This window comes from Homo sapiens, chromosome 7 (genome assembly GCF_000001405.40).
Source record: "Homo sapiens chromosome 7, GRCh38.p14 Primary Assembly".
Taxonomy (NCBI): Eukaryota; Metazoa; Chordata; class Mammalia; order Primates; family Hominidae; genus Homo; species Homo sapiens.
Genome location: NC_000007.14, coordinates 45,157,538 through 45,184,577, shown reverse-complemented (window position 1 = coordinate 45,184,577; position 27,040 = coordinate 45,157,538). Strand labels below are relative to the sequence as shown.

At 51.3% G+C, this 27,040-nt stretch overlaps 1 protein-coding gene across 2 annotated transcripts, besides 1 other annotated feature; it reads right to left on the bottom strand.

The window, feature by feature from the left end:
• Nucleotides 1–327: 327 nt before the first annotated feature.
• On the bottom strand, nt 328–26,787 carry RAMP3 (receptor activity modifying protein 3). Of its 2 annotated transcripts, XM_006715631.4 has the most exons (5): nt 26,692–26,787; nt 22,157–22,320; nt 20,712–20,880; nt 7,137–7,269; nt 328–1,421 (listed from the first exon to the last, which is right to left on the bottom strand). In XM_006715631.4, the coding sequence occupies exons 1-5, from the start codon at nt 26,747–26,749 to the stop codon at nt 1,166–1,168; spliced, it is 780 nt and encodes a 259-aa protein (XP_006715694.1). In that variant the 5' UTR covers nt 26,750–26,787; the 3' UTR covers nt 328–1,165. The 2 variants fall into 2 exon arrangements, with proteins under 2 accessions (XP_006715694.1, NP_005847.1); NM_005856.3 differs by lacking the exons at nt 20,712–20,880; nt 22,157–22,320.
• Nucleotides 6,577–7,077: an enhancer, noted in NCBI's record as "H3K4me1 hESC enhancer chr7:45217100-45217600 (GRCh37/hg19 assembly coordinates)". NCBI's record gives its function as "activates a minimal SCP1, AML or CMV promoter by ChIP-STARR-seq in naive H9 embryonic stem cells {active_cell/tissue: H9 hESC(naive)}" and the evidence as "EXISTENCE:reporter gene assay evidence [ECO:0000049][PMID:30033119]".
• Nucleotides 26,788–27,040: the final 253 nt, after the last annotated feature.

The window sequence follows — 27,040 nt, the reverse complement described above, 5'->3', positions numbered from 1 at the left end:
GGCCTCTCGGTCCCCAGAAAACCCAGGCAGGGGTCCTAGCAAGCCCAAGGCAGCTGCAAAGGGAAAACAGAAGAGAGAGAAATCTTCCCTGTCATCCTCAAACCAATGGGTCAGGGATGGGAAGTGCCCAAGGGGCTGCGAGTAGCTAGGCAAGTCCCTCCTCCTGTCAGGCCCCTCTCCTATTGTAACACTCTCTGAGCCCCCTAAGCGCTGACATTCTGGGATTCCAGAACCTCAGTTGTTCCCTATCTGTACAATATGTACAGGGGACTCATCAGTCCCAAGAGATGCACCGTCTCTCTGAATAACATGAAACAAAACAGGAAATTCCAGAAGTAAGGTAACTTTACTCAGATAAAACACAGATGGTAGCAGATAGAGGCCACAAGCTCATGGGATGCCATTCCAGAGGGCCCCTCACCCACAGAGGAGCCCCTGTAGGAAGGAGGCCCAGGCCCCATCCGCACAGCAAGTCCCGGTGAGGGGCTCTAACACACCCCCACTCCAGCCTCTGGTCATGGACACAGCCCATAGCGGGCACAGCATCATGATGGAATGGACTCTGCAGGCCACGCATGGCTCCTGGGAACCCCCAGCCCCTCCCTTCTCCTCCCAGCCTTTCCAGCTGTCTTCCCACCAGGAGGGCTCGGAGGTCACAGCACGGAACGTCTTCCAAGAGCCCCTGCCTATCTTTCTGCCTGGATGTAGGCAGGAGCTGGGGCTGGTGCAGGAGCCAGGGCAGGAACCAGAGATGGGGTCAAGCAAGGAGTCCTAGTCCAAGCAGGGCCTAGACTGCGGCTAAGGCTAGGCTGGATTCTGTGCTAAGAAACAGCATAGAAACCTGCGGGCAGAGGCTCCGGCCCAGCCTGCGGAGCACAGGATGCAGCAGGTGATTTCTGTGCCCAGCACACAAGCTCTGGCCTTATCACATTTTCCTCCACTGGCCCTAGAATGAGCAAAGAGCTTGGGCGGATAGCCTGAGCCTCAGCCAGGGAGCAGGCTGGCCTCGAGGGAGCAGGTCAGCCCAGGAAGGGAGGGGTCTGCCCATGACCAGGTGGGGTGTGGCCACAGTAGCTGGAGATTGGCAGCACCCACCCGCTCTCCCATCCCCAGGGAACTTTCTTCCAGCTTGCCAGGTGTGACCCACTCCATCTCACCGGGACCCTCACAGCAGCGTGTCGGTGCGTTTGCTGCGCCACACCACCAGGCCAGCCATGGCGACAGTCAGAACGACGGGTATAACGATCAGCGGGATGAGAACCTCGTCTGGGGGGTCCTCCAAGTGGACCCTGTCCACGGTGCAGTTGGAGAAGAACTGCCTGTGGATGCCGGTGATGAAGCCCTGGGCCAGGGGGTTGGGCCAGTAGCAGCCCACGACATTGGCCTCCATCTCGGTGCAGTTGGTGAAACTCTCATAGTACCTGCAAAAGCAGAGGGGGTGAAAGCCAGGCTCTCGCCATCCCCCCTCACACCTGCCCTGACCTGAGGCCAGGAAGATGGGTGGGGTGGCTTGGGTACAGTCCCATTTGGCCACCTATTCACAGCCCAGCCTTGGAAAATCCCCATTCTGGCCACAGGGTCATCTGTGCCCATGACCCATTCCCTGTGTCCCCTGCCCACATTTGCATCACAATGACCATGACTTGCTGCCTTTGAGGCCATGAGCTCCCAGGATCCAGGGTCTCAGCCCAGCTTCCCTGGACCTCTAAGCACTACGCAGGTCTGCCCAGAGGACACACCAAGCCATGCTTCTCCAGGGCCAAAGGGTGCCTGGATCACAGCCGCTTGGACCTGCAAAGCCTTCATCATCCAGGATACCCTAAGAGCCTGAGAGGAGGGTCTCTCTGAGGCCAGGGGCCAGCCACCTCCTAATCAAGTCAGCCTGCCCTCATGTGCCAGGTGGTGGCCAAGTGGGAGTCAGACCTGTGAGCCCCAGTCCCTGCCTCTTCATCTCCTACTCAGAAGTTGCCTCCTTCAGCCCCATCTAGCAGGACATGTGGAGCCCCCTCCTGTGGGTCCCCCTGTCCATGAGATCAAAGATGGGAAGGGCACTCAGCAAACCACCCATGATGCTCCATGACCGCCCAGCACAGGCTCTGGACAGTCCTCATGCTGACCAAGGGCTATAGCCACCAAGACCCAGAGGTCAACTCAGCATAAAGGACTTCCCAGCCACCACCTGTTCCAATGGGCAGCCTGTGGAGGTGATGACCTCCCTGTCATTGGGGTCTGCAAGGCCTAGAGTGGCAGCCACTCATTCAGGATGTTCTAGACGAAGCTAGATGGACTCCTGCCCAGATGCCACCCCCTCTGTGCAGGGCTAGCACTTCCCCACGTCTGTGCTGCATGAGTACAGATGCAGGAGTGTGAAGGGTCCTGCCTCGGCTTCCCCATGGGAAAGTAGCCCATCTCCTCCTTCCCGCGCTGTCCCAGGAGGGAGCCACTGATCTGGCCCATCAACAGGAAAGAGCTGCCTCCTGCATGGAACATCATCTGGGCGTAGATTTCCCAAAGCATCAGAAAGGGGTAGGAAACAGGGACTCTGACCTACTCCACCCAGGGTTCTCCTGGTCTCCCAACCCCATGCCCCAGGAAGGGTCTGGGAAGCCCAGGTACAGTCACTCAGCCCAGCTCCTGACTGATCCAAGGCTGGCTCTCAGCACCTTGGAATGTAGGTCAGACACACACCTGTGCCTTTCCAGGTAGTGTCAGCAGAGAACAGCCAGAGCAAAAGAAACAGCCTCGAATCCAAGTACAAAGCTGTTGGCTCTCCTGGGCCTCAGCCACAATGCAGCACCTGAGACATGCCCAGGCATTAGAGACACCTCAACAGCTAGGTCCATGGACAAACCCTCATCTTCCCTGACCTGCTTCTCCCACAGGGCCTCAGATTCAGTAGCCTGCTGTCCACCCCAACCCCCCGCCAGCTGATCCAGGAGCTGGGGAGCCGTCTAACAACACCCTGCAACAGCCTTCACCTTCAGAAGTTCCCAGCATCTATGTGTGTGATGAGAATCACATGCGGTAACCTCTGTGCCTCCAAAGTCATTCCACTGAACTGCTACCCAGGAATGCCACCCCCCAACAACCATCCCCAGGGCTGAGATGAGCCAGACAGACCCTGGAGAAGACCCTCTGTGGACAGCGAGTCTACAGGGCAAGAGGAGTGATGTCTAGCCCCAGAACCGTCCCAAGAGGAGGTGAGGCAGGGCTGAAAGCCCCTGCTGTTCCCAAACCCCACTCCCAGCCAAAGCTAGGCCACATGGAGAAGCCCACGGAGCAGAGGTAATCCCAGAAGACAGCATGGACAGTGGCTTCAGGCTCAGGTTGCAGAGCCAACATGGCAGGGCCTCTCCAACTCCAGCTCAGCCACTCACCATCTTTGTGGTATGGGCCATGTCATTTATCCTCCCTGGACCTCAGTTTCCTCATCTGTAAGTGGGTTTAATAACACTTATCCTATCAGGTGGTTGAGAGAACCAAATGAGTTGAGGTCCATGTGCCCCAGCAAGTGCCTGGCACAGAGGAGGTCATGGGGTGAGCCCACCCCAGCTGTTAGGTTTGGGGCAGAGCTGAGCACAGCACCCATCTCTGTGGATCCACAAAATCTGCATTTTTGTCACATATCTAGAGAGGTCCACATTCAGTGCTTCTCTAGAAAACCGGGAACTACTTATGATTTATTCATCCCCTGGATAATCTGGGGCCTCTCCACTCCTCCTTCAGTCAGGCTCCCCAGAGCACTCTCCCTAAAAAAGATGCACCACAACCCAGGATGGGAAGGAGAGGAGCCCAGCAGGCTGGAAGCCGGGCAAACCCCCCAGTCAGACTCCCTCTCCCCCCACCCACCTCTGGGGTGTTTGCCCACCTTCCTTTATGTTTCACCACCTGAGTGTGTTCCCAGGCAATATAGTGTTGCATTTGGAAATCCCATAGCAATGCTCCTTAACTGGGTACAGAAGGAGCCCATTGCTGCTATTGGAGGGAGGTTCCCAGGAGAGGACACGCTCTGGTTGCCCCGAGGGGCAATGAGACTCCTCCCCAGGGAAGGCCACAGGCAGGCCATGGGCGAGTTTGGGGAATAGGGTCTTCCCAGCCATGACTCGACTCCTGATGGGGTCGTCATGTGGACCAGTCCTATTGAGGGGAGCAAGCCACCTCTCCTCTAAGCTCACCAAGGCCCACCCTGCTTCAGTGGGGACCAAAGCAGAATGAACATTCAGGGGAAAGAAAGGAGTGTCCTTCATTCTTGACTGAGCTGGGCTGCAGGGCATGGGCAGGCAGTCACCATGTCAGGTAAGCATCAAGTGCCCTCCACCTGGGCCAGGCTGCCTCCACCCAGGGTGTACTGCCACGCTGGGGCACCGCCCTCCCTGGGGCTTCCCTCTCCTGCCTTGGCTCCGCTCCCCAAATCTCATAGCTTCTTTTGTCGTGGTTTGCTCCACACCTTGGCGCACAGCCGCCAGAGCTTGAGAAAGGTATGTGGGAATCAGATGCTGGAGGTGCCACACGTCTGACAGTATTTTCGTTTCTCCCTAATTAGTGGACAAATTGGCGGGAAATAGCACACTAGCTGAGAAATCACAGTCCGAAATTCTCAGGTCCTTGCATCCCACAGTCCTCGGTTTCCAGGGCTGCGGTGGGGGAGCCTGAAGGCCTCTGATCCCCTCATCTCCAACCTAGAGCTCATTTTTTTCCTCCTTCTGGATAGGTGTAGAAGTTTTCCTTTGTTTCCACAGCTCTGATATTCCAGGGTCCATGTGGGACATTTTCCTCCCTCGTGCTAGTACCGGGCAAGCCCTCACCGGCTGCAAGCTCATGCCCTCAGCCCCTGGCAAGGGCCCTTTATCCTTCCATTCTCCTGTTCTCTTTCTAGAATTCCTACTATCTTGGTGTTACGCCTGGACTGACCACTGACCTCCTGATCATCTTCTCTGTCTCTCTCTCCTATTCCTGGGAGATTTCCTCAACATCTCCCTTCCAACCTTTCTATTCCATTTCACTTCTATTGCATCTTCCATTTCTAAACCTCTTTCTTTGTTCTCATTCATCACATGAGAGATAGTTGTTGCCCTCTGAAGATATCAGTCGTGACGTTTGCAGTTTTCTTCTTGGTGCATGGCCCCCGGGTTTGCTTGGTTCCATCTCTCTGGTCTCTGTCCTTCAGGGTCAGAGCCTTAGGTCAGATTTCCAGGGACCCTGCTTGGAAGTGACTCGTGACTGGGAGTGGGGACTGAGAGCTGATGAGACACTGGGACCCTGCAGAAGAGCTTGTCCCCAGAGCTTCCAGGGGTTGGGGGGGTCACTGCTTCTAGGTCCTTCCTCTTGGCTGGTCTCACTCCTCAGAAAGGACAGCTCCAATCCTACCCTAGACCACCCTCCTGGACCCAGTGGCAAAAGATAATGCGTATCAGCCGCTCTCTCCAGCCTCCCTCTCTGGGACACTGTGCCACGTTCTCAATTACATGGGAAGGCCCAGAAACCCTGGTGTCACCAGCTCCAAGAATACACCTCCAGTGTCCAGCTGGGGTGGAGGAGGGCTCTGGACACCTCACTGCTTCTCAGCTACTCTTGCCACTCTCTTGGGAGCTGGTGCTGCCGGCCGGGTCGTGGGAGGGCTCCGCAATGTCAACCTGGCTGTTCCCAGCTCCCCTTTTCCAGCATCAGGTCTGACTTCACCAAGGGCACTCAGTCAGTGGCTCTTGCCCACTCACTCACTGGCTCCTAAATGCCCATCGGGTTGCCTCCACTCCTGTCCTCCCAATCCACGGCTGGACATCTCTATTTAGTCTCTTTACCAAGGCTTTAGCGGGTTACAGAGAGGAGCAAGACCAGAAGCTACGAAGCTATGACCTCCTCTTCCCTGACTCCACCCCCACCAGTGGGTCCATTCCAGGCCTGTGTCCAGGCTCACTGAGGACCAGGAGGAGCCTGCAAAACCCCTTCCTGAATCCCAGCACCCCTTCCCAGCAGACTCAGAATTCCATTCCACTTGGTTCAGCAAGCAGTTCCCCCACAGAGTGGGGCTGCAGATGTGACAGCCTCAAGAAGCCCCCATCTGCTGGGCCACTAGAATGGCCAGGGCCGGGGAGGCTTCCTGGGGCAGGGCCATGGTCAGTGTCTCTACGGAAGACAGGGGCTGGGGTGCTAACATGCAAAAGCATGAGGCCAGCACATTTAGGGTCTGGCAGCAGCCACCAGGGGGTGGCACAAGACTGCAAAGCCAGAGGTGGAGTGGGGTGGGGCAGAGGACTGTGAGGCCATGAGCAATTTCCAAGGAGGTAAGGAGATGAAAAGCTTGGGAAGCTTCTAGAACAAGGGGACCTCCCTTCACTATGAGGTGTTGTCCACAATTACACCTGATATAAACCATTGGAACCCAATTCCTCTAAGTCCTCTGACCACTGAGGACAGACCCAGCCATGACTGGTGCTGTAAGAAAGACACATGACAATGTCCACCCAGCTCCAGCTGTAAGGAGAGGTGGAGCACCCTCCAGGCAAGGCATCCCCCAGGCCAGGGCACCCCCTGGGGTAGGGCAGCACCCACCCCTGGGAGAGTGCACCCCCCAGGCCAGGCCACCCGCAAACTGGACACTCCCCGGGCAGGGCACCCTCCAGGCAGAGCACCTCCCAGACAGGGCACCCCCAGGCCAGGGAACCCCCGAACTGGACACTCCCAGGGCAGGGCACTAATCTGGATCAGGAGGAAAAGCAGGCATGGGGAGGATTCCTAAATAACAGAGGAGAGGGAGAAGCAGAGGCACAGTGTAGAATTGCTAGAACATCAGAGTGAGGATGCGGAATGGGGGGTAGGAAGCTGGGAACCCGCTGTGGGTGTGGGGAGCACAAATGCCGTGGGCAGGGGCACGGCATGGGCGGGGCCGTGAGTGATGTGCCAGGGGGATGTGGGTGGGGTGGCCAGAGCCAAGAGCAGAGTGTGAATAGGAGCGTGGTTGGGGCCCTGGGCAAAGTGTGGGGCAGCACATGAAAGGGCTGTGGGTGGCCTACGGTGGGTTGTGGGTGAGGCATGGGTGAGGCCTTGGGTAGAGTGCGGTCAGGCTGTGGTCAGGCAGTGGTTGGGCAGTGGGCAGCGCTGTGGTCAGAGCAAATCCCACGCCCAGCAGTGGCACTCACACGATGAACTCGGACAGGTTGCACCACTTCCAGACGTCCACCTTGCCCATCATGTCTGCGAAAGCCTTCCCACACAGGGGCAGCCTCTCCAACATGCCTGTCTCGTTGCAGCCGCCTGCTCTGGGACACCCACCTGGAGAGGGGACAGCCATAAGAATTCCACTACAGTTCACACTGGGGATGCCAGGACAGGGGAGGCCCAAGGGGCCATAACTTGAGTACTCACTAGCAAGGCTCCGTTTGCAAGCCTGAGACCGTTCCAGCGGAGTCCTTCACCCTCCACCCTGACCTACCTGTCAGTGCAGAAAGGAGGCTCCACACAGGGACCTGTCCCCAAGACAGGACAAGTCCACCTTTTCACTTCACCGCCTCACAGGCAGTGGCACAGGCAGGGATCAGGCAGTGAGACCCTGGGCCAAACTCCTTGGGAGGTGGTGAGAGGGTCTCAGGCAGATCAGGGCTGGCAAAGAGGCTCCAGTTCCAGCTTAGGAGTCCCAGGGGCCTGGGAACATCCTGAGGACTCTAAGACCTGGGGACCATCCCACTGCCTGCAGGGGCGGCAGAGGAGGGCTCCAGGCCAGTAAAGACCAACCCCTCCCGGTCAAAGACCCCCTCCAATTCTGGGAAACCAGGGGCTGAGGCCACTGCAGGGACTCATGTTCCCAGCAATGGGAATGAGTCCTTTGGACTTTCTCAGGGTCTGACACAAGCTGCTTGTCCCAGGATTTCCCCACTGCCCTTCCCAACCTCTGCCCACCAAAACATCCCCTCCCCTTCCTCCTCATGCCTTTGCTCCACACATTTCCCCATGGGGAACATCCTCCCTCCCACTGAGCAATGCCCCCTGTCCTTCAGGGCCTGTCTCCACGGTCATCCCATTTCCAGACGACAGGACCTCCCTGCTCCTAAACTTCCCTCACCTGACCTCTGCTTTGGTGCTCATCATATACTCAAGAGAGACCCCAGGCATATGTGTCTCGGGTGTGTGTGTGTGTGTGCACGCACAGCCCTGCTGTCTGTGTCTTGGTGTGTGTGTGTGTGTGTGTGTGTGTGTAGGTACACAGCCCTGCCATCTATATCTTAGTGCATATGTGTATGCATACATGAGCATGTGTGTACACAGCCCTGTCATCTGTGTTCCGGCGGCTGGTGCTGGGCTAGAGGAAATACCATGAAGAAGCAGATAAGAAAATGGTTCCAGATTGACATGGGACAGACCTGGCTCACACCCACACTTCACTGGTTACCAGCTCAACCTCAGTTTCCCCATCCGCAAGATGAGGGATACAGGCCCCACCTCACAAGGAGGTTGAGCTGGCTAACTTAGTCTGAAATGCTCAGTGCCACCTCCAGGAACGTATCATTCATTCATTCCCTCAATAAGTCTTGGCTGAATGATAGAGAAAGCAGTGAGCATTTCAGAGTCTGATCTTCTTCCATGTGTGGCTCACCCTGGGCACTGAGCAAGTGCTGAATAAGTCACTTTAATATGGAAATGGCAGGTTTAGACAGGACCACTTTCTGGTGCAGGGACCTGCTCCACCAGAACACAGCGCCCCAGACACTCCTCAAGAGTCATAGCCTGCTTAATGCTAACATTAGGGAAGACCCTGGAAGCCCCTTGGTTGAACAAGCGTCTGATGCCAGCAAAAGGGAGTGGCTTGTCTAAGGCCAAAGGAAGGCTGGAGGGGTCCAGATCCCAGGGTTAAGGGAACTGTCATGCTCAGCCCACCCCCACCTGCAGCAGAACACCTGGAGCACATACAGAGGACAGGTGTTAGCTGGAACCCCACAGAGGAGAACACAAAAGGGCTTGCCAGCTGTTCAGGGTCGTGGGTTCCCAGACTCAAGGCACCTTCTTCCCTTCGTGACTGCCCAAACCTATACCTCAGAATCCAGGCTGACAGCACTGAGAAGGGCCCCTGGGGGTCACAGCTGGTAAAGTTGGACAGAGGACTTGCAGGTCCCAGCAGGTGGTCTGAGAAGCCTGTGTAGGCACTCACATCTCCCCTTCTGTCCATGCAAGCTTCCCCAGGACCCAGGGCATCTTGAGGCCCCAGAGAACCCTGGAGATGGGAAGCACACAGGCTGTGGCTCAGTGGTCAGCCTGCTGCCATGTGTAAGCAGATGGCAAGGACACAGGCTGGGTGAAGTCACCACCATGGCCCCTGGACACAGGGTCAGTGACTGGCTCTCCCAGAACAGGTGTTTCAGGGCCTTCTGGCCACTCTGCATGGTTTCCAGCACCTGGAATGTCCCTGACCCCCACGTTCGCTTGTCTCATCAGCACAGCTGCAGGCCTGGATTCTCTGAAAGGCCACACATCCCACTTAGGGCCCCAACCCCTGAGTGAGCCTCTGGGGTGCTCACCTCTCTTCACAGAAAGGCCATGTGCTCATTCTGTGTCTGTCCCATCCCTGCATGTAGCACAGGTCCCCCACATGGTCCCACAGGGTCTGCACATGGAGATGGTGGCTCAGTACCCACTGTCAACCCAGTGAAATTTATCCAAAGATTTAGCAAAACATCCTGGACCACCGCTATCATGTGTTGCGGACTGTGTTGGATCCTTGGACAAGGGGAGAGGGAGAGGGTCTGGTTCCTGTCTTCAGGACCTGCCATCTGGGTTCCAGGGGGCAAGAGGAAGACACAGGGATCTCAGTCCAACTAGGGGAGTGACTGAAGATAGAGCATATAATAGATGGGGCAGAACCCAGGACAGAGTGTCAGGAAGTCTCACCAAGATGCACAGGCCATATAGGGGCTGCGCATACAGGCAGCCACAGTCAGAAGGAGACCTGAGCTCCGATGTCAGTGGCGGGAAGGGGACATGACCAGGGCTGCATCAGGACCACTGAAAGGGATGGTGCAGTGGCTATAGGGGGATAAAAAATGCACAGGCCCCATCGGGATCACCTAAGAGGACTTGAGCTGCCCGGGTAGCAGAAGGAGCGTGGAGCAAGATGGGTCCAGGTGCCCAAAGCAACATGGCTTCAGCAAATACCAGTCAATGGCCCAGAGATGGACCAAGAACAGCAGCCAGTGTGGGGACAGTGGCCAGCCGCACACATGAGGGCTTGCTGAGGCCATGGGAGTCAGGAGGTCCCTGAGGACCCAGCCTGTACTTTCCCTGGCCCTTAGGCCCCTGTCATCTGTCCCAGACATCACAGCAGACCCCAAGGGCACTATAACACCCACTACACAGATGGAGAGGCTGATGCCCAGAAAGGTTAAGTGTCTCCCAGGGTCACACAGCTTTGGGGTAGTCATCTGTGCATGCCGGGCCTGCTGTCTTCACCCACGGTACCCAAGACCCTCCTGGCTCACTCCTCCAGCCAAAGCACGGTGCTCCCCATCCTGTCTGCTCTCACTGGGCCTTGTCCATTTCCTCAGCTGGGAGTGCCCACTCCCATCTCCCTAGGAGGAAATCCACAGCCCCCACCAACACCCCCACCTCACCCCTCTCCTTGGCAACTGGGCCCCACTGCTCCCCTGCTGTCGAGGCTCTGCTATATGTGTCTGCCCTCCTCCCAGCTCAGGCCTGGTGTCAGGAGGTCCACAGCAGCATTTGCGCCATGAATGTGAGGACCCCAGGATGGTAGCAGTTGAAGCAGTGTGAGCTGTGGGCAAAGCTGCTGACAGTCCCCAAGGGAAAGCAGGTGCCCTGGATGATCAGCCCTGCTCCTTGCAGTCCTCCCCACACTATCAGAAGTGGCAGAAGCCTACAGAGGCTACAGGGAAAGCTACAGCTTTCCCCAGTGGGCAGTCAGCTCCATGCTGGGGTTTCCTCCACTTCCCAAAGCCCATCAGGGCTCACTGGGCACTGGGAAACTTGGACGTAAAAACCACTGCCCACCACCTCCTGCTCAGCTGTCCACAGACACAGCTGGGACCTTCATAGGGAGAAGCCCACTTGGTCCCCACAGGCACCTCAAGGCATGTGTCCTTCCTTCCACAAAAGCAATATTAGAGAGGCCACATTTTTCACCCAAAATCCCAGTTTGTTAGCGGCAGCCTGGACAATAGCCCAGGGTCCTGACACCTGGGCACCACCCACAGCTTCTGATGGACACCGCTTGCAGCTATAGTGTGGATTTTGTAAAAGGCTTATACAAGCCTCACTATATCCTTGTAGAGAAGATAAGCGGACACACTTCCATGTCCAGTCATATGGCAGACGTCTGGACAAACTTTCTACTGAAAACAACTGAAAGCCTGGATAAAATATAAACCATACATTCATAAAATCATCAAGGAGCTGACAAGATGGCAAGAAATTATCAAGCTAAAGACTAGATGGAGTGGAACCCAGAGGGCCATGGATTTGTTGCCCTGGAGGCATCTTCCCAGCCTGGAAAACTGGGGGTGGATAAAGGCCAAGATGAGAAGTCTAATGAAAGGCCCCATAAACTGACATTCAGAGGTAGGTGAACCAGAAATAACTCTTCACCCTCGGCCAAGTAGGAGGAATGGGACCTGGCACTGAGCAGGGAGGGGGACCCCTCTCTGAGAAGTCATAAGCAAGGCTGACCTTCTTGTGGATTCACAGCCCAAATTCACATGACCTGGATGGACCCAGGGAAACCCCAAGTTTAAACTGATCATCATGGACAGGCCCCCGCAGGAGCAAATAAACCCAAACCCTCTCAGAAGGAGGCACCATCATTGCAGCCCTCAGAAAGCTGCCATAATTAACTTCCCAAGGAAAACAAGCAGCTCACAATCAAAAATCAACTAAGTATAACCTCAATAGAAAGACCCAACAAGGTGAAACCCTGTCTCTACTAAAAATACAAAAATTAGCCAGACAAGGAGGCGTGCACCTGTGGTCCCACCTACTCGGGAAGCTGAGGTATGAGAATCGCTTGAACCAAAGAGGCAGAGGTTGCAGTGAGCCAAGATCGTGCCACTGCACTCTAGCCTGGGTGACAAAGTGAGACTCTGTTGAAAGAAAAGAAAAGAAACTCAACAAGGGGGTACAGACTTCTGGGATGGTGGTATGAGAAGCTCATCCTAAGGGCACACATCAAATGAAGAAGGTTATTCAAGAAAATCTACCACATCTCGGGAAGAATAGTGAGAATCTGTGACATTTGAGCCACAACCTGTTCCCACTCCACACCCTACCTCTGGCTGTAGAGCCTGTACTCCAGTGGGTGCAACCACAAATGGAGGTTCTCTCTACCCCAGCTCCCAGTCCTGGGCTACAGTTTCACCCTGGGACAAGCAGGCATGTCCCTCCCAGCTCCAGGTTGCAGGAGGTCTCTTCTTTCTGGGCAGATGAGGCCTAGAGAACTGAGGCTCCCTGCCCCGCCCAGTCCCCACTTCTAAGGTGGAGGTTCTGCACCAGGCATGGCAGGCCAAGAGTACTGGGGCCCCAACCACCCCACCCCAGCTCACTGGTAGGGTGGAGGCTCCACAATGGGAGGAGCAAGCCAAAATCAGGAACTACAGTGTCCCTCATGGGTGCCTGCTTGTGGAGCAGAGATGTCATTCTGGTAGAAGCAGGCCATTGTCCTATCCCCCAGTCCAATACAGTGCCAGGTCCTGCCCAGGGGAAGAGGCAGGCTGTAAGAAGAGACAGATATTTCCATAGCTGTTGCAGAAGGGATTGACTATATTTGGAACAGAACAGAAGTCCATGCCTGAGGGTGTTGTCAAAAACAATGGAGGCAGGCGTGGCATCCCACACCTGTAATCCCATCACTTTGGGAGGCTGAGGTGGAAGGATTGCTCAAACCCAGGAGTCTGAGGCTACAGTGAGCCATGATCATGCCACTGCACTACAGCCCGGGTGACAGAGCAAGACCTTGTCTCAAAAAATAATAACAATAAATAAAATAATTTTTTATTAGACTAAAATAATTTTTAAAAAAAGAAAAAAAATCAAAAAAGACATGAGACTTTGTTAAAGCCTGAATAGATTTTAAAGGATTATATAAATGTCCTCTGACCACAATGGAATAAAATTAGAAATCAAAGACAGGGCTGAGCGTGGTGGCTCACGCCTGTAATCCCAGAACTTTCAGAGGCCAAGGTGGGCAGGTCACCTGAGATCCAGAGTTCGAGACCAACCTGGACAACATGGCAAAACCCCATCTCTACTAAAAATACAAAAATTAGCAGGGCACAGTGGTGCACACCTGTAGACCCAGCTACTCAGGAGGCTGAGGCAGGAGAATCGCTTGAACCCAGGAGGCAGAGGTTGCAGTGGGCCGAGATCACACCATTGTACTCCAGCCTGGGCAACAGAGTGAAACTCTGTCTCGAAAAAAAAAAAAGAAAGAAGGAAATCAAAGATGGAAAGAATTTGGGGAAATTCACAAATATGTAGAAAATAAACAGCATTCCTAAATAACCAATAGGCCAAAGAAAATTTCACAAGGGAAATTAGATATGGTTTTGAGATGAATAAAAATAAAAGACACAACATACCAAAACTTAGAGAGATGCAGCTAAAACAGTACTTGGAGAAAAATTTTTAGTTGTAAAAACTTATATTAAAAAAAAAAAGGCTGGACATGGTGACTCACTCTTAGAATCCCAGGTGGGATGGCTTGTTGCTGGGAGTTCCTGACCAGCCTGGGCACCATTGTGAAACCTTCATCTCTATAAAATAAAATTTTTTTAATTAGCCAGGCATAGTGGCACACCTGCAGTCCCAGCCAACAGGGAGACTGAGGTGGGAGGAACACTTGAGCCTAAGAGTTCAAGGCTGAAATGAGCCATGATCACACCATTGCACTCCAGCCTGGGTGACACAGCAAGACTCTGTCTCTAAAAAATAAATAAATAAATAAAATAAGGCCGGGCGCAGAGGCTCACGCCTGTAATCCCAGCACTTTGGAAGGCCGAGGCGAGCAGATCATGAGGTCAGGAGACCGAGATCATCCTGGCTAACACAGTGAAACCCCATCTCTAGTAAAAATACAAAAAATTAGCCAAGCATGGTGGCATGCACCTGTAGTCCTAGCTACTCGAGAGGCTGAGGCAGGAGAATCGCTTGAACCCAGGAGGCAGAGGTTGCAGTAGCCAAGATTGCGCCATTGCACTCCAGCCTAGGTGACAGAGCAAGACTCCGTCTCAAAAATAAATAAATAAATAATAAAATAATAAAGAAGAAAGATCTCAAATCAATTACCCAGCCTTCCACCCTAAGGCACCAGACAAAGAAGATCAAACTAAGCTTAAAGACAGCAGAAGAAAGGAAGAAATTAAGATTAGAGGAGAAATTAATGAACTACAAAATAGAAAAAAAATCAACAAAATCAAAGCTCATTAAAAAAAAAAAGCTTTTAAAAGATCAACAAATTGACAAACCTTTAACTAGACTTACCAGGAAGAAAAGAGAGAGACTCAAATTACTAAATCAGGGATGAAAGAGGAGATATCACTATATCACTACCTGTGTTAGAGAAATAAAAAAGATTATATGCAAATACTATGAACTGCTATATGCCAACAAATTAGATAATGTCAATGAAATGGACAAATTCCTAATAAGGCATTGTTATGGAATGAATTGCATCTCCCCTAAAAAAGATATATTGAAGTCCTAACCCCTAGTACACCTCAGATTCTGACCTTACTTGGAAATAGGGTCTCAACTGAGGTAATCAAGTTAAAACTAGGTCATTTGGGTAGACCTAATCCAACATGACTGGTATATTCTTACAAAAAGGAGAAATATGAACACAGAGAAAGACACACACAGAAAGAAGATGAGGTGAAGACATTCAGGGAGAAGACAACAGTGTGAAGATGGAGGCAGAGATGGGAGTGATGCTACTGCAAGCCAAGGAACACCTGGGGCCACCAGAAGTTCAGGAAAGGCTGGGAAGGAGTGCCCAGCACCTGGGTTCTTCCAGCCTCCAGAACGGGTTTTAAGTCACCCAGATTATGGTACTTTGTTACAACCTAGGAAACTATTAAAGACATAAACTACTGAAATTGGTTCAAGAAGACATCAAAAATCTAAATAGGTCTATACTAAATAAAGAGACTGAATTCTTAATTTTAAAATTTCTCCCAAAGATAATCCCAGGTATAGAGGCTTCTCTGGCAAATTCTACCAAACACTGAAAGAAGAATTAACAGAAATCATTCACAAACTCTTCCAGAAAATAGAGCAAGCAGCACTTCCCCATCTTCCAACTCATTCTCTGAAGCCAGTATAATCTTGACAGCAAAACCAAAGACATCATAAGAAAAGAAATCTATAGGCCAATATTGCTTCTGAATATATACGTAAAAACCTTCGATACTAGCAAACTTAATCCAGCAACATATAAAAAGGATTATACACCATGACCAAGAAGGTTTTATCTCAGGAATGCAAGGGTGGTTCAACATAAGAACGTCAATTCATGTAATATATCACATTAATAAACGAAGGGGGGAACCACACGATCATCTCAATTGATGCAGAAAAAGCATTTGACAAAATCCAATGTCTTTTCATGATTAAAAAACACTCAATATATTAGGAATGGAATGGAATGGAATTTCCTCAACATGATAATGACCATATATGAAATGCCCAGAGTTAACATAACCAATGATGAAAGACAAAGCTATCCTTTAAGATCAGGAACAAAACAAGGATGCCAGGTTTCACCACTTCTATTCAACATAATTACTGGAAGTTCTAGCCAGAGCAATTAAGCAAGAAGTGAAATAAAAGGCATCCAAGTTAGATAGGAAGAAGTAAAACTATCTCTATCACAGATGACACGATTTTATACTTAGAAAATCTGAAAGAATCAACATACAGGCACACACAGAGAGAGACTGTTACAGGTAATAAACTAACTCAGCAAAGTTGCAGGATACAAAATTAACACAAAAAAATAAGTTGTATTTCTGTGCACTAGCAATGAATAATCCAAAAAGGAAACAAAGAAAACAATTCCAATTCCAATACAATCAAAAATAATAAAATTCTTAGTAATAAGTATAATTAAAAAGTACAAAACTTGTACTCCGAAAAGTATAAAACACTGTTGAAAGAATTTTTTTTTTTTTTTTTTTTTTTTGGAAACAGAGTCTCACTCTGTCACCCAAGCTGGAGTACAGTGGCACCATTTCGGCTCACTGGAACCTCTGCCTCCCAGGTTCAAGGGATTCTCATGCCTCACTCAGCCTCCTGAGTAGTTGGGATTACAGGCACCTGCCACCATGCCCAGCTAATTTTTTGTATTTTTAGTAGAGACGGGGTTTCACCACGTAGGCCAGGCTGGTCTCGAACTCCTGACCTCAGGTGATCCACCAGCCTCGGCCTCCCAAAGTGCTGGGATTACAGGCATGAACCACCATGCCAGGCCTGTTGAAAGAAATTTTAAAAGATCTACATAAATAGAAAGACATCCTATGTTAACACATTGGAACACTTAATTGTTAAGATGTCAGTACTACCTAAAGTGATATACAAACTCAATGCAATCCCTATCAAAATCGCAGCTGGCCCATTGCAGTAATTGATGAGCTGATCCTAAAGTTTCTATGGAAAAGCGAGGGACACAAAATAGCCAAAACAATCATGAAAAAGAACAAAGTTGGCCAGGCGAGGTGGCTCACGCTTGTAATCCCAGCACTTTGGGAGGCCATGGCGGGTGGATCACCTGAGGTCGGGAGTTGGAGACCAGCCTGACCAACATGGAGAAACCCCGTCTCTACTAAAAATACAAAATTACCCGGGCGTGGTGGCGCATGCCTGTAATCCCAGCTACTTGGGAAGCCTCAGGAGAGGCTTCCCAAGGCAGGAGGCAGGAGAATCGCTTGAACCCGGGAGGCGGAGGTTGCGGTGAGCCGAGATCGCGCCATTGCACTCCAGCCTGGGCAACAAGAATGAAACTCCGTCTCAAAAATAAAAAAAAAAAAAAAAGAACAAAGTTGTAGGACTCACACATCCCAATCTTACAACTTACAACATGGCAACAGTAATCAAGATAGCATGGTACTGGCATAAGGTTAGATAAATAGACCAGTGGAATAGAATTCAGAGTCCAGGAATACACCCTCACACTTATGATAAATTGATTTTCTACAAAGGTACCAAGACAATTCACCAGAGAAAGAATACTCTTTTCAACAAATGGTACTGCGACAACTGGATATACACTTGCCAAAGAATAAAGTCGGACCCTTCTCACCTCATACACGAAAATTAACTCAAAATGGATCACAGGCCGGGCGCCGTGGCTCACGCCTGTAATCCCAGCACTTTGGGAGGCCGTGGCAGGCAGATCACGAGGTCAGGAGATCGAGACCATCCTAGCTAACACACTGAAACCGCGTCTCTACTAAAAGTACAAAAAATTAGCCGGGCGAGGTAGCGGGCACCTGTAGTCCCAGCCACTGGGGAGGCTGAGGCAGGAGAATGGCGTGAACCCAGGAGGCGGAGCTTGCAGTGAGCGGAGATCATACCACTGCACTCCAGCCTGGGCAACAAGGCAAGACTCTGTCTCAAAAAAAAAAAAAAAAAGCATCAAAGACCTACATGTAGAGCTAAATTATAAAACTCTTAGATTACCCAGCTATTCGGGAGGCTGAGGCACAAGAATAGCTTGAACCTGGGAGGCCGAGGTTGCAGTGAGCTGAGATTGCGCCACTGCACTCCAGTCTGGGCAACAAAGCAAGCCTCTGTCTCAAAAAATAAATAAATAAAACTTTTAGAAAAATACAGGAGAAAATCTTTGTGCCCTTGTGTGAGAAAAAGCCTTCTTATACATGACACCAAAAACCCAAGAAACAAAAGAAAAATAGATAAATTAGACACGTCAAATTTTAAAACTTCTGTACTTCAAAGGATAGCATCAAGAGAGTGAAAAGACAACCCACTGAATGAAAGAAAATATATGCAAGTTGTATATCTGATAAAAGACTTGTACCCAGGTTACATAAAGAATTCTTACAACTCCATAATAAAGGGAAAAATAAAGCAATTAAAAATGGGCAAAGGATATGAATAGTCATTTCTACAAAAATATATATAAATGATCAATAAGCACATGAAAGACAATCAACATCATTAACCATCAGGGAAATGCAAATCAAACCACAATCACATACCACTCACACCCACCAGAATGGCTATCATCAAAAAGGCAGTCAGACGTGATAGCACACACTTGTAACCCCAGACATTTGGGAGGTTGAAGTGGGAGGATGGCTTGAGGAGTCCGGGGTTGCAGTGAGCTATGACTGCACCACTGCACTCCAGACTGGGCAACAGAATGAGACCCTCTCTCAGAAAAAAAAAAAAAAAGTGTCAGTGAGGACATGCAGAAATTGGAACCTTTATATACTACTGCTGATTGGAATGTAAAATGAAGCAGCCACGTTGGAAACTAGTCTAGCAGTTTCTCAAAATGTTAAACGTAGAGTTACCATATGACTACACAGTTCCACTCCTAAATTTATACCGCACATGTTCACACACAGATTTTTACATGAAGATTCATAACAGCATTATTCATAATAGCCAAAAGATGAAATAATGTCCATCAGCTGATGAATGGCTAGAATGTGGTATACCCATGTGATAGAATATTATTTGTACATAAAAGAGTGAAGTGCTAAAACATACCACTATATGAATGAACCTTAAAAACATTCTGCTGTGAGAGAAGCCAGTCACAAAATCTCACATATTATATGATGCCATTTACACTAAATGTGCAGAACAAGCAAATCTAGAGACAGAAAACATATTAGTGATTCCTTAAGGCTAAGGGGGTTGGAGGAAATAGGGAGTGACTGCTAATGGGTAGGGGGTTTATTTTTGTGGTGACAACAACGTTCCATAATTGAGTATAGTGATGGTTGCAAAATTCTAGGAATGTACTAAAAAATATTGATGTATACTTTAAATGGGTGAATTGTGTGGCATGTGAATTATATCTCAATAATGCTGGCTTTTTAAGGCATAATAAAAACTTTTTCAAACATACAAAAGGTGAAAGGAAATATCACCCACACACCCAAACTATAAGTAATGTTTAGGAAAGCCTATCAGAAGCCAATATGGACCTATGCAAAGGAATGGAGGAGATCAGAAATTTTAACTATGCAAGTAAATATATAGAATTTTTCTCAATGTCTAAATTCTGTAAAAAATAATAATCATGTATTGTGAGATTTATAACTTTGATTTAAATAAAATATATGACAGCAATGGCATAAAGTTCAGGAGGAGAGAAATGGAAGGTTCTTAGGCTATCCATGAATCAGTGTAATGTCACCTGAAGACAGATTGATGAATTAAAGATGTATACCATAAACCCTGAACCAACCACTGGAGTAACAAAACAAAAAAAAGAATTACACCCAATTAGCAAGGATGGAGGAGGAGGAGAAGGGCAAGAGGAAAAAGAAATGGAGTAATAATAATAAATACTAAGTCCAAAAGAAGGCAGAAAAGGAGAAAAGAGAGGAAAAGAATTGATGGTACAATGGTAGATTTAAATCTAACCATATCAATAATCAGATTGAAAGTAAATGGTCTAAGCACTTCAACTAAGAAGCAAAGATTGTCAAATAAGAACAAAAAGTAAGGTCCAACAGTAGGCTGCCAACAAGAATCCAACTTTAAATGAAAAGACTCAAATAGGTTCAAAATAAAAGAGTGGGAAAAGACACATCTTGCTACCACTAATCAAAAGAAAGATGGAGTGGCTATATTAATATCAGACAAAGTATGTTTTGGAGCAAAAAATATTACTAGAGATAAAGAGGGTCTTTTCAATACAATAAAGGGCTCAATTCATCAAGATGATGTAGCAATCCTAAATATGTATGCACCTAATAACAGCATCAAAACACACAAGGCAAAAACAGAACTACAAAAAGAAAATGACAAATCCACAATTTCACAATTATAATTGGAGAATTCTTTTTTTTTTCTTTTGAGACAAAGTCTCACTCTGTCACCGAGGCTGGAGTACAGTGGTGTGATCATGACTCACTGCAGCCTTCACTGCCTGGGCTTGAGCAATCCTCCCACCCCAGCCTCCTGAGTAGCTGGGACCACAGGCATGTGCCACCACACTCAGCTAATTTTTTTTTTGTTATTTGTAGAGACAAGATCTCATATTACCCAGGCTAGGCTCCAGTGATCCTCTCGCCTTGGCCTCCCAAAGTGCTGGAATTACAGGCATGAGCCACCGCACCCAGCAGATAATTGGAGAATACTCCTCTCTCAATAATTTACAGAACAAGTAGATAAAAATCAGGAAGCTATTAGAAAACGTGAACAGAGGAGGAACAGAGGTGTCCAGGGCACAGGCAGGAGCACAGTGGAGCTGGGTATACTGTGTGTGGAAGGGTGGGGTACACACCATTGTGGGTGTAAAGGAAAGAAGAAGTGACTTTGGAAAGGTAGACCCAGGGCAAGGTTGGAGCAGGATGTACAGGTCTTCAGAGTTTATTTAAAGTCTAATAGAAAGGCAGAAGTGGGTTTTCAGCCACAGTACTCTCCCACTTAACCCAAATAGGCCCTCTGAACCTTCACATCATGGAATCCTGGGCAAGCATCAGCCAGGACTGAAGCTGGCGTCCCTTCAAGAGAAGCCATACCATCTCTGCAGGAATGGAGGCCCGTGTCCTTCTGAAGCTTGACCGTGCCACCCTCCAGATGCCCCACTGGCACGGAGCCAGAAGACAGAGACCTCATCCTGTTTAGTTCCTGATTTGCTGTGTGACTCCAAGCAGGGCCCTTCACCTTTCTGGTCCTTTGTCTCCCCATCTGTAAAAAAGAGTGATTCTGATTCTGTGTGTTTCCATTGGTTAATAATTGTGCACCTACAAAATCTCTGTCAAGGTTAGCTTCCATCGGGCCCCAACTTCCTATTCCCACCACTGCTGACCCCAGCCTCCAGCTTGTCCCACCCATGAGCTGCTGCTCCACGACCCTCTGGCTGCTGGCAGCACCTGCCCCTCTTCCTCCACAATCAGACTGTCCCCCATTACCACAGCCTCCTTCCTGGACACCAGCAGCTCCCACTTCTGTGTATCCCAAGCTGCTGACCCCAGGTTCTCTTGTAGCACAGCTCTAGACCCTGAAGTGCTTTGAAGGAACCAAAAAGTAATAAGAGACTCAAAAGTGAAGCCATTCTTCTATAAGGCTGGTAGGGACCACCATTCATGAACCCACCCAGAAAGCCCTGAGGCTTGGGGGCTCTATCCCTAGTTCCTCTGGGCACTGTCATCTTTCAGGGCAGCCACCAGAGATAGGACAGACCCAGCAGAGTCAACTGCACAATAGGCTCACCCAGGCCACAGCCCAGGCCTATTGCATGGGAGCCTCTGGGGTGTGAAACCAATAATTCATGTTTGTTAAAACCTCCAAGTGATTCAGACATGGGGTCAAGGCTGAGACTGAGAGATGGAAAGCAATGTGTCTCCACTCAGATGTGCAGGCCATCACCTGAAGACCTCAAGCAATGTAGATTCCAGTCCAGCAGGCTTGGAGGCCAAAGCACTCATCTCTGCAAGCTCCAGGCAAGCCCCTTCTGCAGGTCCGAGGACCACACTCCAAGGAGTAAGGGCATGGGGGATGGAAGAGCAGCAAGCAGGAGCCAGAAGGCTCTAGGTGCTCACCTCGGCTCTGCCCCTGACCCTGACACTCACTCACTTGCCCCTCTGAGCCTCAATGTCCCCATTCAGAAACAGAACCAGTGGCACCTACCTGGCAGACCCTTGCCCCATTTCTCTTTCCCTTCAGCCAGGCTCTCCACCCCCCTCAGTACTGACCAGTGCTCCCTGAATGCCCTGTTCTAAGTGTGGCCCAACCCGCCAAGCCCTACAACAGCCAGACAGGGCAGGTACTTAAAGACTGAAACCCTGTGGCAGGGTGGGTCAGCTGCTTCCTCACTTAGACAAGGCAGGGGAGTCAAGGTTCAAAGCCAGGCCACCTGCCCACAGAGCTGTCTCCAGGTGGCATGTCACCATTGCCTCACACTGACACCCTCACTCCAATTCCCACCCTTGGTCTGCCAAGCAGGGCTGCATCCAAGGCTCACCTCCTTGCCCTGAGGGCTCCTGGCTGGAGTGGCCCCACTTAGCCCTGGTCCCCGATCCCCACCTTCCTTTCCTTCTCTCCCAGTGGGCACTTCCAAGCTCCATGTCAAGCCTGGGCTCTGCAACAGATTCTGGAGTACAGGTCGGCATTGATCCTGGGAAGGGCCTGAAAAACATCATGCCTCCTTCACCACCTCCCTCAGTTTAGAGATGGGACGATGGAGGCCCAAAAGAAAGCGACTTTCCCAAGGCCTCCCTCTGCCACCCTGCTCAACTGCACCTGCCTGCAGGTGAAAAGACAGCCCTGGCATAAGTGACCAAGGGGTGCAAGCCCCAGGGACCACGTGGAGTCACACGAGGACTAAGGCGGCCTGTGCACCTTCACCCTAAAGCTGCCCCTGCCTTGGACTCTGAAGGTTCGCCTAGCTGCTCTCCACATCCAGCTCCTGTCCTCACCCCTGGGTCTGGCGTCACTCCCTAACAGATTCTCTCAGCACCCTTGGGTGGGTCTCCTGAGCTCCGCCCACCATCCCAATGGGCACGAGCCAGGCTAGCCCCACCCTGTCCCTCCTGGCCAGTGCCCACACCTGCAGCCTGGTCCACCTGGACCCCTAGGTCTGAATCTGAACCCCTAGACCTGGACCACTTGGCCTGGTCCCCCCTCAGCCTACTCTGACTGTCACCTATCAGGCCACCGAGACCCAGCCCAGTTCTTCTTCCTCCTCTGCCTCCCCCTCCTTCCCCTTCTTCCTCTCTTCCTCCTTCCCCTGTCCTTCTTTACCCTCCTCCCCCTCCCCTGTTTCCTCTCCTCTCCTTCCTTCCTCCTCTTCTTGGAAGTCAGAATGAATCTGAACCACTGCCTTCTCCTCCCCAGCCCTTTCCTGGAGGTATTTGCCGCAGCCAGCCCAAGTCATGGCTGTTCCTACAGCCCACCTCCCTACACAGGGCCTGTGTCTGCCACATTTTCACATTAACTATGATGCTCTGAAACACAGCTCAGGGACAAGGTCCTGATAAGTATTCATTACCCTCAGGCAACTATTATTCTCCCTGAGCCCCTGATCTCCCTCACTGAGCCAGGCAAAGACAGCATCAATTCCCCACCACCCCCAGTGCCAGGGCATTGCCCAGCCCCTCCCCCACGGCTCTACAAATACCCACCCAGGTCGCACAGCTATCTAAAAAGAGAAGGAGGGGTCCCTGACAACATGCCCCTCCCTGAATCTCTGCATGCCCCAAATCTCTACATACTCCATAATCTTCACATGCCCCATCGCAAGGACCTGGCTCAGGCAGATTGTAAATGTGCCTTTGAGGACCACATGCCATCCTCAGGCAGGTGTTCTGGGATAACTCCTCTACCCACGGAGGTGCTATGAGGATGCCTGTGACAGCACCAGCCCTGGGCCTGCACAAGGCAGGCACCCTGAGAAACCAAGTGCCCTCCCCAGGGAGCTCATTTCTAGTGCACATGAGGCTTGAGGGGCTCCCAGCAAAACCTGACAACCCACCCAATGTTAGAACAATGGTGTAAAGACAGATTCCTGGCAACACCACAAAAGAGGGCCATTGCCAATCAAGCTACTGGCTGCATTAGTAAAGGTCGCAGGAACTGAATCAAAATAGAAATCCATTTTGGTTGGTTTCATTGGGAAACAAAGAACATGCCGGCCTGTGTTTCTTTTGTCTCAGGGACTTCCAGACGCCACTGAGAGATGATAAACAGCCAAACAGATGCATTTCCGCCAGAAAGGGCTTTTGTGGCTAGTCATTTGGAAATGAAACACAGGCGCTCTCCCCCTCCTTGACAGAAAGAGCATCGACGAGACTGGCAAGTGGCTGCCATGGGCCACGGTCAGTCGACCTTGGGAGGCTGTGGATTCTGGGCGGTTCTGCCCCTGGTCTCTGTGGTTGGGCAACTTCCTCTCTAACCTCCAGATTTCTGTTTCCTTATGAAGAATAGGTAAGAGCATGGAGGTCAGATAACCTCCAAGGAACCTCCAGTGCCAAAAATCTATGGGCCTCTTCTTGGCCAATCACCACCTTCAAGTCTTTTTTTTTTTTTTTTTTTTTTTTTTTTTTTTTTTTTTTTTGAGGCAGAGTCTCGCTTTGTCACCAGGCTGGAGTGCAATAGCATGATCTCGGCTCACTGCAATCTCCGCCTTCCAGGTTCAAGCGATTCCTCTGCCTCAGCCTCCTGAGTAGCTGAGACTACAGGTATGCACCACCACACCCGGCTAATATTTTGTATTTTTAGTAGAGACGGAGTTTCACCATGTTGGCCAGGATGGTCTCGATCTCCTGACCTCGAGATCTGCCCGCCTTGGCCTCCCAAAGTGCTGGGATTACAGGCGTGAGCCACCGCACCCGGCCGGCCACCTCCAAGTCTTTAATTCACCAGAGTTACTGCTATCCAACCATGGCCCTTGGGCCCACTTGATTCAGTAGAATCAATATGACCACAGGTAACATGGCAGCAGGACATCATTTAATGATAAAAACGATGGTACCATGTTCATACGCTTGCACACACAGGCACACACACTATGGTGCTCCATCTTTGGGTGCTGTGAGTGAGCCTCATGAGGCCCAGTGCAGTCACTGGTGGGTGCCTTCCCATACCTCCCCTTGTTTAAGCATGAACCCTTCCACCCCACAATCCCATGCCCAACACAAGGTGATAGGGACTAAACTGAATGGAATCAAACTGACGGTCTCAGCAGCCCTTTACAGATTGCTATTATTACATCTACATTGCAGCTCGGAAACTGAGGCCAGTGAGTGCTTTATAATCTTGGGATCATGATCAGGATTTTCACCCAGACCAGAAGAGTCCAGTCAAGAGCTGGGCACCACAGCAAAGTGTCCTGCTGAGTAGACAACTGCTGGACTTCGCATCCCCACAGCCCCACACAGCATCAAATGCTTTCTGGAAAAAGGTCTGGAATTCTCAAAGAAGCCCCAGAGGCCTGCACCCTCCCTGCTGGTCCTCCTGAGCTAGTCCTCAGTCAAGAGGAACCCACCCAGCTCCTTCCTTCCAGACACAGCAGCATCCAGGGCAGATGTGGGTTCCAGTCCCGGATACCTCTGACACATCGGCCTGGGACCATGAGCAAGTTTTACCTCTCCCTGAATCTCACTCTGGCCAGTCGAACACTGGGAGGGTCTGCTGAGAAGCTGGACCTGGTCCCTATTCTGGCCAGGGAGCGTGAACCCATGTCCCATTGGAGGGGGACAGTCAGGACCAACACAACAGGACAAAGAAGTGGCCCTCAGGAACTGGGTCCACGAGAGACAGGATTATTAAGGGGGGATTCTGTGCAGGCGGAAGCCTGTGGTCCTTCTCAATTTGATACTGGAGATGATCAGGAAAGCCTCAGCTTCTCCCAGAATGAATTGAGAGGACCTTCCTTCCACTATAGCGACCAAGATCTCCACCTAAGGGGCGCTCACTGGAAGTTTGCTGAAATCCCAAATCAGCATGCTCCTGATTTCAGAAGCTGCCATCCACCTTTGCACTTCAACACAAAATCCACCACATCCTAGGCTCCAGCCCTGGAACACCAAATGAAGCCACACAAGTTCTGCACACCAAGACCTCTTCAATGGAAGGAAAATGACCACTGAGTTTGGTCCACCCTTTTCCCACCTCCCGTACCAAATCCCAAATCATCAAAACAGGCCCAACTCTGCATCTTACAGCCAGGGAAACTGGGGACCACCAGGCCAGGGCCCTCCATCACCAATGTCCCCCCCAGAACTGGCCAGGCTCAGTCACCACTCAGTGGACCCCAGCCCTCAGCAAGCACTCTTCCCCAACAGCCTTTACACACATTCTCTCTCTCTCTCTCTCTCTTACTTTTTCTTGGATAATTTCTTTAGCAAGGTACTTCAAAACAAGCTTTTAGTTTAATCTATTTCCATTTTGTGAGCAATGGTTCTTCCTAGAGTCCTGATTTCTTGCCGAAGAAGGCATTAGGAGAGGATGGCTCAGAGAGTCGCCCCGCTTCCCCTCTCAGCCAGTTCCAGGACACACACAGGCGTCCACACACTGAGGGGCCCTGGGAGGACCAGCTACCCAGTCCGGAGTCCACCCGCCCACGCCCCTGTGAGTGGTGGGCAGGCACTCAATGCCAGGACAGAGAGCTCACTACCTTACAGACAGCCCACCCTGGGGGATAAGGGGTAAAGAGCCAGACCTGGTCCACCTCTTCTCGCCCACCCTGAGGCGACCCCAGAACCGGGGCGTGGGGGGACATCACAACTAGAAGGACCGGGGGCTGCCGGACCCTGCCGTCAGAAGACCCCGGAGGGGGCCCTGTGCCTCCCTTGCCCGCCAGAGTCCTTCGCCTTCAGCTTCTCCCGGGTGGAACCCTCCCGCAGAGCCTGGGAATCCCGCCAGGGTCACTGTGCGCCCCTCCCGAGCTCCGGGGCAAGGGAAGGACCGCGGCGCAGGTGCGGGAAGGCGCGGGTCCACCCGGGTCCGGTGAACCCCGAGGAGTGGGGGCGCCCCCGGTGCGGGCCGTCGCCCCCTTACCGCAGAGCAGCAGCAGCAACGGGAGAAGTTGCGGGCGCCGCAGCGCTCCAGTCTCCATGGCTGGCCGGCCGCAGCTGGGTCACGCTCGGTCCCGCTGGGGGCGCGGCTGGGGGACGCCCGGTTGGGGTTGGGGTGGGGCGGGGCCTCAGGGGGTCCGCCCTCAGGCCGCACCCCCAGACCACGCCTGCGGCCGTGCCCCGTTGCCTCCAGATGTGGGGTGCAGTCCCTGCAGGCGCGCCGGGTGGGAGGGATGGGGGCGGCTGGAGTCTCAGCGGGGTGAGAGGGGGGCGAGGGCAGGGTTTCGAGCTGGGGACAAGCTGGGGTAAGGTGGGGTGCCGGCTGATGGGCT

Coding starts and splice junctions, on each gene's coding strand:
- RAMP3 (XM_006715631.4), bottom strand. CDS start 26,749: ATGGAGACTGGAGCGCTGCGGCGCCCGCAACTTCTCCCGTTGCTGCTG. Junction 22,321..26,691: donor GTTGCTGCTGCTGCTCTGCG/GTAAGGGGGCGA, acceptor GATGTTTTTCAG/GCCCTTCCCAGGATCAATGC. Junction 7,270..20,711: donor CCTCCATTCCTGCAGAGATG/GTATGGCTTCTC, acceptor TCCCCTCTCCAG/GTGGGTGTCCCAGAGCAGGC.